At 36.5% G+C, this 12,970-nt stretch overlaps 1 protein-coding gene across 24 annotated transcripts in view; it reads left to right on the top strand.

Annotated features, from left to right (window-relative positions):
• The window catches only part of CEP70 (centrosomal protein 70), a 99,917-nt gene extending 87,793 nt beyond the window's left edge, over nucleotides 1–12,124 (top strand). For 7 of the 24 annotated variants that reach the window (NM_001288967.2, NM_001288965.2, NM_001288964.2 and 4 more), the window contains 6 exons: nucleotides 1,003–1,173; nucleotides 5,587–5,733; nucleotides 5,901–6,069; nucleotides 6,244–6,358; nucleotides 8,358–8,437; nucleotides 11,392–12,124. In NM_001288967.2, coding sequence (NP_001275896.1) covers nucleotides 1,003–1,173; nucleotides 5,587–5,733; nucleotides 5,901–6,069; nucleotides 6,244–6,358; nucleotides 8,358–8,437; nucleotides 11,392–11,453 — 744 coding nt within the window. In that variant the 3' untranslated portion in view covers nucleotides 11,454–12,124. The other 17 variants (XM_047449022.1, XM_047449019.1, NM_001320599.2 and 14 more) reach the window with 8 other exon arrangements.
• The last annotated feature ends 846 nt before the right edge of the window (nucleotides 12,125–12,970 follow it).

Genomic DNA, 12,970 nt, shown 5'->3' with positions numbered 1-12,970 from the left:
TTCCTCGGATGATATGTAAGGTAGAACCCATCACTTATGGGGAGAGGGTTATAGTCAAATAGTATACTATCTTAATATATTAAGATACCTAAAATTCAATCCAGGCATCAATGATATTATTTTTGGAGACAGGGTCTTGCTCTGTTGCCCAGGCTGAAGTGCATTATCATAGCTCACTGCAGCCTTGAATTCCTGGGCTCAAGTGATCCTCCTGCCTCAACCTCCCAAAGTGCTGGGATTACAGGCATGAGCCACCACACTCAGCCTGGGGATTGCTGTTAATTTCCTTAAATAGTCTGATAATGTTCTTGTGAGTTTGTAGGAGAATATGCCTACTTTTAAAAGATGCATGCTTTATTATTTGAGGGTGAAGAGTTTCTTCAAATGGTTCACCTAAAAATATAGATAGTGAGCAAATATGGCAAAATACTAACAATTTTTGAACCTAGGTAGTGTTTGTAATAGTTAATTTTGTTTCAACTTTACTGCGGCATAGGATGCCCGATATTTGGTTAAACATTATTCTGGATGTGTCTGGGAAGGTGCTTCTGGATGAGATTGACATCCGAATCAGTAGACTTTAGTAAATCAGACTGCCTTTCCTAATGGGGTGGGCCTCATCCAATGATTCAAAGCCCTGAGTAGAACAAAAGGCTGAATAAGAGGGAGCTCCTCCTCCCTGACTGCTTTCAAGATGGGACACTGGTTTTTTTCTTGCCTTCAGACTCAAACTGAAACATTAGCACTTGCAGGGGTCTCAGTCTGCCTGCATTTGGACTGCAAATACCCATTACCTTTTCTGGGTCTTCGCTTACTCACTGCAGATCTTGGGACTTGTCAGTCTTCATAATTGCATGAGCCAATTCCTTATGATAATTTTCTTTGTATATTTAATGAAATATGTGTATATAATATATATAGACATAAAGCACTCCTTTAAAATATATAACTTTGTAGGCATAGGATAAATATTTTGACTATATACACTATGTTTTTTTAAAGGTGCTGTGTAGCATCAATTCAATTATCCACAATCCAAGAGCTCCAGTAATAATTTATAAACAGACCAAAGGGGGAGTCCAAAATTTTAATAAAGATCTTGTTCAAGATTGTGGATTTGAGCATCTTGTTCCTGTAATAGAAATGTGGGCAGATCAACTGACATCCTTAAAGGTAAGGGGTTGACTATGATTATATGCTTTGAACATCTATTGGACTCTATGTGCTTTATTAATAGGACTTAATTCAGGGCTAAAAATTAAATAGGGTTTAATTTTTTTGTTTGTGTGTTAACTCTAAAGCTAAAAAAGCTTATTATCTAAAACCGAAATCTTCCTACTTACATATCTATTTTAGGTACTGTCTATTTGATGTTGTCATTACTGTAAGCTTTACCTCCTCTAAGATTCTACCAAACAAGAAATTTTGGGGTTAGTTTCCTTATTGAAAATCTATAGTGGATCCACTTTGTACTTCTAGGCCCTTCCCTGTTCTACCTTCATCTGCCTCCTTTTCATATCTCCATGCTGCGATTTTCCTGGCCCTTATCCCTCTTCAGATATAATGTCTTATCCTTCATTTTATTATAATTGGGGATATTTTCTCTCTCTTCACACTTTATTTTCTGTCTCTCAGAACTGAGCTTATCTCCATTTCTGCTTATTCTCTAGAACAGATAGTAAGCTAGCAGCCAACGCTACCCTTCCCTATCCTATCTCTTCATGGAAGACCACATTTTATTTATAGAGTTATTGTGTATTTATTGCATAGCTTCAGGTTTTTTCAGTTTTTGTTAACTAGTTTGCTGAAAGGTAAATAGTTGAAATCAGTAGTATTTAACTTCTTTGCCCTTTACACTTTAGATTTATTAGTAACTAATATAATACATAGCATATGCCTGTTAATGAAAATGTGATTCAATAACAGTGTTTGCAACATAAGTCTTATTACATGAAGTACAAATGATGCAGAAGATATCTGTTAAGAATGTATAAGCTCCATGAAGACAGTGTTTTTATTTGTTCTGATATGTCCCCAAGATCCTCCTGATGAATGAGTGCTCAATTAATATTTGTTAAAAGGAATGAAGCAGAATATTATATTCCAAGACAACAAAATTGGGGGTGGTGATGTTAATTTTTTTTAAATTTCGACTTCCCTTTTTATATAGGGCTCAGACAGAGCTATACAATACATAAACATTTTGATTGAGTGACAGTGCTAGATTAATATACTTACTTTATAGACCGGAGTTCCTCCAGTCTGTATCTCAGAAGAGTGTAAAATAATTAGTAATAGTGTAAATCATGGTATTTCCTCAATCACTGCCTGTCAGAGGGTTCTCCCAGTAGGAGGAAACAGTGCTGACTCCACCTTTCTTCATCTCAGAAGGGATGGACTAGAAAAAGCCCTAGCCTTCCTAGAAGAAAAGACTAGAAGAGGAAGAAGACAAAGGGAAGAATCACACTAATGGATAGTTATTGATCGTTTATCATGCTAAGCCATTATGGGATGAACACAAGATTCAGACTAATTAGACAAAATATACTAAAAAATATGAAACAAAATGTAATCATTTATATCGTTAAAGGAAATGAGTGACATAAAAATAGATTACCGGTTGAAGTTCTGAGTGAATGATGCAGATAACTTGTGCTCTAGAGTCTGGAGGAGAAAGAGAACACTCTGATTGTAGCCCCCAAGAAGGGCTTTGCCATGGTGGTGAGTTCTTGCTATTGTATGGTTTTCTGAGGAGGAGGAGGAGGCAAGGAATTCGCTTTATAATTAGAATATTCTGAGGACACCCAAGAAGAAATTATTAAGAATTAGTTACTTCTGCCATTGGAGTAACTCATGGATTTTGAGCAGTGCTTCAGATATTAATACTACAGTTTCAGGGTCCAAATTAAGAAACTACATGAGATTCTCTGAGGCCTCATATCAAAGGTTATTTGATATGTAGCAACCTCTAAGTTTGGGACAACCATCTTCCCAGATTAGTTTTTTCCCTCAGGTTAAATTTGGCTTTAAAGAGTAAGATAGGTTTGAGGGATGAATGGATAAGCAAAATGTGGTATATACATATATTGCAATATTATTCAGCCATTAAAAGGAAAGAAATTCTGACCCTTGCAACATGGGTGAACATTATGAGGACATTATGCTAAGTGAAATAAGTCAGTCACAAGAAGATTCCACTTATATGATTCCACTTGTATGAGATACTTAGTGAAAATCATAGAGACAAAGTAGAGTGGTGATGGCTAGAGGGAGGAGGGAAATGGGAAGTTATTGTTTAATGGGTATAAAGTTTCAGTGTTACAAGATGAAAAGAATTATGGAGATGGATGGTGATGTTGGTTGCACAACATTATGAACATATTAACACTGAACTTACATTTAAAAATTGTTAAGATGGTGAATTTTATGGGTATTTTACTAGTTTTAAAAATTGGAAGAAAAGAAGGCTGGGAAAGACATGGAGCCAGCTGCCTCCAGCCTTGTGTCTTTTCCCTCCTGCCTTTCCAAGAAAGGTGAACTACAGATGTTGTAGCTTTCCCCAACCCAGTACACTCTTGAATACTTTTGCTTTGCTATTCTCCAGTGCTTCAGAGGCCAGACGTACACGGTAGGCTGGCTCATGGTAGTACTTCTACATCTCCACAACTGGGCAATGTAAAGAACCTAGGAGACCCTCTTATATTTTTCAGAGCTTACTTGATGGACTGTGCTACAACCATCCTGTCACTGCTTAGGAGACCAGAACATCTTTTCTTCTTAGCTTTGTAATACTCTTTTATTCTGAAGCAAAAATGTATTAGATTGGGTATGCTTTTTACCATAGATTACTTTATAAATGTGCCTTGTTCCTGGAGCATTGGTTAATAAAGGTATCATTATGCTGTTACTTGCTGACTTTTTTTTTTTTCAAATTCTAGTGGCATTGATTGTAAAACATTCATTTGACATGGAATTTATTGCTATGAATTACTAAAATAGTAACTGCCTTCCTACCAATTGAAAGGTTAAAGATACCAATATGTGAAGTCTGAGCCTTAAGTGGAGAGTGTCAAGTGAAGTACTAAAATAAGTTAGAAAAAGGAGGAACTTCTTGTACTTCTTTCTGTTCTCTAGAGCTGTGCTGTCTAGTATGGTAGCCTCTAGCTGCATGTGGTTATTGATCACTTGAAAGGTGGCTAGTCCTAATTCAGATGTGTTATAAGTGTAAAATATACACTGGATTTAGAAGACTTTGTATGGGAAAAATTAAAATAATTGATTTTATATTGAAATGATAATATTTTGGATATATTGGGTTAAATAAAATATACTAGTACAGTTAATATCACATGTTTCTTTTCACTTTCCATACTATGGCCCTAGACAACTTAAAATTACTGTGGCTCACATTACATTTCTTTTGGACAGCGTTGTTCTAAAGGACCAAGCGCTGTGCCATACACATATGGATTGAGTATCCCTTATCCACAGTGCTTGGGCCTAGAAGTATTTTGATTAAGAATTTTTTCAGATTTTGGAGTATTTGCAGAATATATGCCATTTGAGCATCACTGATCCAAAAATCCGAAATTCAGAATGCTCCAATGAGCATTTCTTTTGAGTGTCCTGTTGTTGCTCAGAGTTTCAGATTTTGGAGCATTTCAGATTTTCGGACTAGGAATTCTAAATATTTGTCGATTGATCAGTCTAGAGCTCTAAACTTTCAGTAGCCTTGCCCATTGTGCACAGTTTAAAATCAATTAGGGCACCACAACTAGGCCAAGAAAACTAAGTGGAGTATTATAATGTAGAATACATTTAGGGAACCTTTCACATTAAAAACTTGCCTGGAGATACATGTTATAACATGGATAAATCTTAAAAACATTATGCTAAGTGAGAGACGTCATTCATAAAAGACTACTTATTGTATAATTCCCTTTATGCAAAATGCCTAGAATAGGCAAATCCATAGAAACAGAAAATAGTTTAGAGATTAACCCTAGGAGCTGCAGGGAAGGGAAAATGGGGAAGGAAGGACTCTTAGTGGGTCTGAGATTTCTTTTTGGAGTAATGAATATGTTCTGAAATTGGATAGTGCTGATGTTTGTACATGTGTGAAAATATTAAAACTACTGAATTGTATACTTAGGGTAAATTTTATGGTATATGAATTACATCTCAATAAAGCTGTTATATAACATATTCAAAACCAAAATTCAAGGGCAAGTTTATTCTTTGTGTATCAACAATTCAAAATAATGAAATATTATGGAACAATAATAAATAACATAAAATTACTTAGAGCACTCAGATTCAGAATAATCAATATATAATGTTTTCTGTAAAGCCTGTGTTTACCTGGAGAAACCTAATTTTAACTGACTTGTTCTAAATTGGTAGTAGTATTTTTATTTAAAAAAAATGATGGTTACATATATATTTTTTTAACCTGTGTAATTATGTTTTATTAATTTTATAAAACATATAATATATAAAACTTATAATTTTACTAATTATGTTCTATTATGTTACTATAGAAATTATTTAAATCAATAATACCATATAGTTTCTTTTGTTATAAAGGATTTGTATAAGTCCTTGAAAACACTATCTGCAGAACTGGTACCTTGGCTTAATTTGAAGAAGCAGGATGAAAATGAAGGTATCAAAGTTGAAGATTTGTTGTTTATAGTAGATACTATGCTGGAAGAAGTTGAAAATAAGGAAAAGGTAATACCTACATGAACGGTCACCTTCTAATGTTTCTTATCTCAAAAACTGATAAATTGTGGATATTGATATTTGTTCTACTAGAGTTCTATTTGTCTTTTAAAAGTTTTTATTTGGGATTATTTTAAGATAATGAACTCTTTCTTTTTTACCTCTTTTTTGGACAGGACAGCAATATGCCACACTTTCAAACTTTGCAAGCTATTGTTTCTCACTTCCAAAAGTTATTTGATGTGCCTTCTTTAAATGGAGTCTATCCCCGAATGAATGAAGTTTATACTAGGCTTGGAGAAATGAACAATGCTGTGAGAAACCTCCAAGAACTCTTAGAATTAGGTGATGACCTAATTTGTCATTTTGGGCCCCCATTTAAGAATTTTTAATAAATTAACAAAAAGTAGATTAAAAAATGTTTAAGTGAAAAATTGAGGATAACTGAAGCATAAAATGTTTGATGTATGTAATTTTGGAAATTCTCTGTTAAAATATCCTTTTATTTCTCTTTTGCAGATAGTTCATCCTCATTGTGTGTGCTAGTAAGCACTGTTGGAAAACTCTGTAGGCTGATTAATGAAGATGTGAATGAGCAGGTTATGCAGGTATTAGGACCTGAAGACCTCCAGAGGTATTTGTTTTAAAAGTTTACAAAGTATCATCCAGAATGGCTGGGTGTGGTGGCACACGCCTGTAGTCCCAGCTACTTGGGAGGCTGATGTGGGAGGATCACTTGAACCCAGGAGTTTAAGTCCAGTCTGAGCAAGGCAGTGAGACCCTGTCTCTAAACAATAAAAATTAAAATAAGTATTATCGAGAGTTCCTGGAGGGGTGAAATTAAAGACTTTCAAAACTTATTTACCTTCCCTGTTTGGAATAGCATCTTTTGTGTGTGTGTGTGACTGTAAGCACACGCCACCACGCCCAGCTAATTTGTGTGTGTGTGTGTGTGTGTGTAGAGAGAGAGATAGAGACAAGGTTGCACCATGTTGCCCAGACCAGTCTCAAATTCCTGGGCTCAAGTGATCCGCCTGCCTTGGCCTCCCAAAGTGCTGGGATTACAGGTGTGAGCTACCATGCCCAGCCTTGGAATAGCATCTTTTAAGTAACTTGACAATCTAAGATAATCTCAAACCCTTAGGGATGGAGGAAATGCCAAATATTTTCAAGATAAAAATAGATTGTAAGGCCTATAAAGAAGGTCAGGTACTCTTCAGCATAAGCCTGTTTTCAGGAAATATTATATATGGAGAAATTCAAACCTTGTTAGCAACATCATGTAAGTTCTGATTATATCAATAAGTTCTATTTTTAGGACACTACCATAGACCACTGAATAATCATTAATAGTATATTTATTTGATTAGAAGATAAATGTTGAGGAGTTTTTAAAAGACTAGGCATCTATAACATAAAAGCTGGTATTTTTAGAAAATATCAAGACATTGTAGCTATAGTTAAAGCAACTTTCCCCACACCTGACCCCCAATTTTATATTACAGCATATGTGAAGGGAAACACACAATATATACCACATAAACCATATGTTTTGCAAGTTTTCCTAGAAGAACCCTTACATAATCTGACACTTGGTGCTTTTAAAAGGAACATATATCTTGCTATTGGCCTATTTCTTCCTTCCCACAGTTTTACTGACTACTGATTTTTTTTCTTTTTTTCTTTTCTTTTTTTTTTGAGACAGAGTCTCACTCTGTTGCCCAGGCTGGAGTGCAGTGGCTCAGTCTCAGCTCACTGCAACCTCCGCCTCCCAGGTTCAAGCAATTCTCATGCCTCAGCCTCCTGAGTGGCTGGGGTTACAGGCATGCGCTACCACACCCAGCTAATTTTTGTACTTTAGTAGACGTGGGGTTTCACCATGTTGGCCAGGCTAGTCTCGAACTCCTGACCTCAAGTGATCCTCCTGCCTTGGCCTCCAAAGTGCTGGGATTACAGGCATGAGCCACTGTGCCCAGCCTGATATTTTTTCTTAATGTTTAATAGGATACTGGGTGTAAAAGCCAATTATTTTTAGAAAATGCTGTAAAAGCATGATCTAAGAAGCCTTGAGCTTAATGGGAAATTTGCCATGTTAAGAATGTTGTATATTGGCTGGGCGTGGTAGCTCACGCCTGTAATCCCAGCACTTTGGGAGGCCGAGGTGGGCGGATCACGAGGTCAGGAGATTGAGACCATCCTGGCTAACACGGTGAAACCCCGTCTCTACTAAAAATACAAAAAATTAGTCGGGCGTAGTGGCAGGCACTACAGGAGGCTACTCGAGAGGCTGAGGCAGGAGAATGGCGTGAACCCGGGAGGCGGAGCTTGCAGTGAGCCGAGACAGCGCCACTGCACTCCAGTCTGGGTGACAGAGCAAGACTCTGTCTCAAAAAAAAAAAAAAAAAGAATGTTATATATGAATTTAACAAATTTTACATTGATATTGAAATGCTTTTTTAAGAAAAGTGATATTGGATTAACAAAAAGCTCAGAAAGAAAAGACTGTAGTAAATGATCATTAAGTTTATATTTAAATTAGCAATATAGTTTCTATTTTGAAAATGTTCTGTTTGCAATCAGATGCAAGAACCCAAAGTTAGAAATCAGGTTTAAATTGTGCATTTTTTAAACAGCATTATCTACAAATTGGAAGAACACGAGGAATTTTTCCCAGCATTTCAGGCATTTACTAATGATCTACTTGAAATCTTAGGTAAGATCTCTGGTGGTGATGGTGAAATTTTGAGTCTTAAAATGTCAGTGCATTTAAGAAAAGGGTGTTCCTTGGTCACTGGATTAGTATTTTTACCTAGTGGTTGGAAACCACTAACAGTTCTGGAAACACATTCCTTACAAGCAGTTAGAGTTTGTTTGGATTAGTCCATAGAACAGAAACACAGACCCTTAACAGCAATAGGAACTACCTTTGTTGGAGGACCTTATCATGAGAGATGGCATCATTCTGTCCATGCCTAGTTTAACCCTGGCTCTGTCATTGTCTAATGAGAAATATTCTTAGGATTTATGATCTTAGAAGGTCCTTCCTCCCTCCTTTTTTTTTCTTAAGATACCACCTATCTACAAAATTTTTTAAATATACAAATAATATTTCCTCTCTGGTTATATGAAGTAACATAAAGTCATAAATATCTGTGGAAAGGAAAAGATGAAATATTACACTTATACTGAGGGTCAGATTGAGGGCTTCATTAGTAGTAGTGTCTCCTAAAAGGAAAAAATTTGCTTAGGACTCATAAGGCAAAATAGAGACCTTATCTAGTTTAAATATAATTACATATGGCTATAAAATTATTTATCTTACTATTAAGAATGATTTTTAAAGTTTTAAAGTGATGTATTCACCAGTGAATTTTTTCTGTATAGCTCATTTGAAAGATTTTTTTTTTTTTTTAAAGAATGGCTCTTTGCTTTTAGAAGAGGAGATGAAGCTTGGTATGAAAATAAGGGAATGAGTCAATGAAAACTTGATAAGAAGAATAAGTGAAAGAAGTATCTAATTAGAATATATAGCCTACTGAACATAAAGGAAGTTTTGTGACCAGTCTTATGTGCAGTGGGGAAGCAAGGGAGACAATGAGTGAGCTTGCTTTAGGCTTGTCCTCATGTTTAAAAAGATCACAGCAAGTGAAAATGTAATTTGAAAGTTAAACTTGAGATGAGGTATGAAACTGTATAAGTGTGTTGTCTGATATCCTGAAGAGCCTGGTTTCATAGAATAATATGATTCTTGCTTTGGGATTGCTATTAACTTAAGCAGTGATGTTCTCATCATTCATAAATATTTGGCACATTAATAAACATATTTTAATAGGGTGTGCTGGTAACACTTATTTCAGAATGCTTCTATAGAAACTTCCTTTCAGATATTATGACACTCAGCATGGTTCATAAAGATCATTTGCTTCAGAAAGCCAGGTTTCTCTGGAGATGAATTCTGTAATTTGGTCAAAGTTGAAGTTCTGGTGTTAAACATTAACATTGGGAAAGTTAAATCTGGCAAACATGACAGTTTTTTTAATTAATAGGTGTCACTAAGCATGTAGGTGCAGGGTGGCATACTGAGTAACAGACATGGAGAGTACCTTTAGTGAGTAAAAAAACAATCCATTCTTTTTCTCATGTAAATGGTGTGATTGACTGAGGAAATTCCCATATCGGCCAAGGTCCTTTGCTGTGAGGTTCATTTGTAAGGCAGGTTTCTCACTTAATGAGAAAACAGGTGTAATTTCAGAATGGGCAGGGGGCGGAGTCAGGGAATACCTTGATCTTGTACCTTACCACAATGTAAGGGAATTGTAAACAAATTCTCTGTTGTAGGTTTGCTTATATTGTTTCTGTTCCCATATCTTGATGCTTTGTTAGTGGGTTCAGACAAGTATTCTGACTGAAGTCGGGAGCTTAAAAGAACTAAATGAATAGTAGGAGAGCATGGGCTATGTGTGTAGGCTAAGTGAAGAGCAACCAAGATCCAGCTACACAATGGAGAGAGTTGGAATCCAAGAAAGCATGCTTTATGTAAGGGAACGCGTTTATTAATGATGGCTTAACAGAATAAGCTAGAAAAAAGTGTGGGTATCTAGAGAACCTGCCATTGTGGCTTACCTTAAGTAGGGCTGGGATCTGGATAATGAGAAAAAGGATTTTGCTCCTTTGGTGGCCAGGAGCTTCAGAGAGTGAATTCTAACTTAGGCTGGTTGGAATAAGATAGTCTTAGGAAGAAAAATCAAATTCAGAAAGAGCCTGTCAAAAAAGAGCCTGGATTGGTTTATCTGGTAAGCTGGACCAGGCTAAGCTCTATAATATATTGTACTTGAGGTTTGTACACTCGATGAGGCTATCTTTTTGATTAGGCAGATAATTGTTTTTTTTGAGACATAGTCTTGCTCTCTGTCACCCAGGCCAGAGTGCAGTGACGCAATCTCAGCTCACTGCAACCTCTGCCTCTGGGGTTCAAGCAATTCTCCTGCCTCAACTTCCCAAGTAGCTGGGATTACAGGTGCCCACTACCACACCCAGCTAATTTTTGTATTTTTAGTAGAGGTGGGTTTTCACCGTGTTGGCCAGGCTGGTCTTAAACTCCTGACCTCAGATGATCTTCCCGTCTCGGCCTCCCAAAGTGCTGGGATTATAGGCATGAGCCACTGCACCCAGCTGGCAGATACCTTTCATCTTAGAGTGATCCACTACTAAGAAATCTTCCCAAGAAAATTAAAGAGGACAAGACTGTTCTATGAGAAGAAATTCCTAAGTCCTCACGTGGAGACCTAGGGAGGAGACGCCTCTACCTGGGATTTCATCATGTAGATGCACCCGTGTAGTGATACAGATCTAATGAGACACTAACATATCACACATGTGGGCAGTTGGATCTGTTAATAAGGACATGCTGCTAATGAAGTTAATACTAGAATCAGAGGGTACTTGTGGGTATGTGGTAACTTATATAAACAGAGCCCCTGTGAAGCATCTGTATCCGAATCAGTGATAATCTATCATCACTATCGGAGAAAAACTTCATGTGCACAAAAGCACCAGTATTATTGCCTTTATGTTTGGGGTTTGCCTTTGCATATAGGTTCTTGTTTCATGTGAGTTTACCACTAGAAAAAGTTACTCTCTTTTATTATTACTGTTTTTGTATTACAGAAATTGATGACTTGGATGCCATTGTACCTGCAGTAAAGAAATTAAAAGTACTTTCATACTGAAAACAAATCAAATCATTTTTACTGTGTAAATTGTATTCTTAACATTTTGTATTTTGTAGGATTGATCTTATTTTGAGACAAGGGTTGTAAAATGTATTTGCTCTCAGAATTCATCCCCTTCTTAGTATTAGGTCATTCTTCATCTGTATAATTTTTATTAACTTTGAGATTCTTATACAGAAAATAGTTGCAAGGGTAAGGTAATTAACTTTAGATCCCTTCATTTCTAAAGCAATTATTGAGTGCTTAAAATTTAAGGTTGTTTTAGAGTGGAGTTTGTGAGTAAAAGAGGAGCCCAGGGAGACAGATTGCAAGTAGTAGGTTGCAATCTTTTAGATTCAGCTTGTAATAATCTTTGAGCCACACCAAAAGGAATGCCAAGGGCTCTCTAAATTTAGCCAGTAGGAAGCTACTGCTCTCCTGGCAAGGATTAATTGGCACATTCTGTTAAGATATCCCTCATGACAGTTGCCCTTTCAAAGCAGGAGGAAGAAAAGGAAGAAAGAAAAACTGTTTCATCATTTCTGTTAGGGTAGGAAATGAATCATAGGGTAAAATGGATGAGTAGATAGAAGTCTCTCATTTAAAAAGTGTCTTTTGCAATCTTGATGTAATGCACTTTTTATAAGGACTTGAGATCTCAAATAAAATTTCTGTAAAGAATTTCCAAACATAAGTGTCCTCAGTGATGCTTGTATATTACTGACAAATAATGAGTCATATTCTCTTCCTAGGCTGAACCTTCCTTGGGCAACTTGTACATCCTTGCTGCATTTTATGTAAGAGTACTTTACTTGCTGCCTTCTGTTTATTCTGTATTCTCAATATGCAGTCACGTTTTCTTAAGGGTCAGCGTTCTGCCTCATACCCATAAGTACAAGTCACTTTGGACTATTCTTCCCCACTTTTATAAGCAGCAGGTCTAGGAAGATTTCTCTGTCATTCTTGTTGGTGGGCATATAGAATATTATAACACATTTCCAGGAAGCAGCATGGTGGAATGGTGAGTAAATGTCAGCAAACAAGCATCCACATCCTTGGTGTTATGACCTTAGGGATCAGACGTAAGATAATAGGCTCCTTCTAGATTTAAAATTCTTTGTCATGATAGCCTGCAGTTACATTTCTAAACACTAACTTACAATTTGTGGAAGACCTTGTGTCTTGAGGGTTGGGTACAAAAAGCATTTGGATATTCAATAATGTAAATACTATGAATTGATTAAATTATTCCAAGAAATTGATGGCAGGGCAAGATGGCAGAATAGAAGCCTACACTATTGATTCCCACTGCAGGAACACCAACTTTTAACAACTATCTACACACAGAAAAGCACCATCACAAGAACCAAAAATCAGGTGAGCAATCACAGTATTGGTTTTAACTTCATATTGCTGAAAGAGGCATTGAAGAGGGTTAGAGAGATAGCTTTGAATCACTGATGCCACCCCTCCCTGACCCCCTGGCAGTGGCTGCACTGTGGGGTCTGAGTCTGTGTGCTTGGGGGAGGGAGAGC

This window comes from Homo sapiens, chromosome 3 (genome assembly GCF_000001405.40).
Source record: "Homo sapiens chromosome 3, GRCh38.p14 Primary Assembly".
NCBI classification, from domain to species: Eukaryota; Metazoa; Chordata; class Mammalia; order Primates; family Hominidae; genus Homo; species Homo sapiens.
This window is presented reverse-complemented; position numbering and strand designations above follow the sequence as displayed.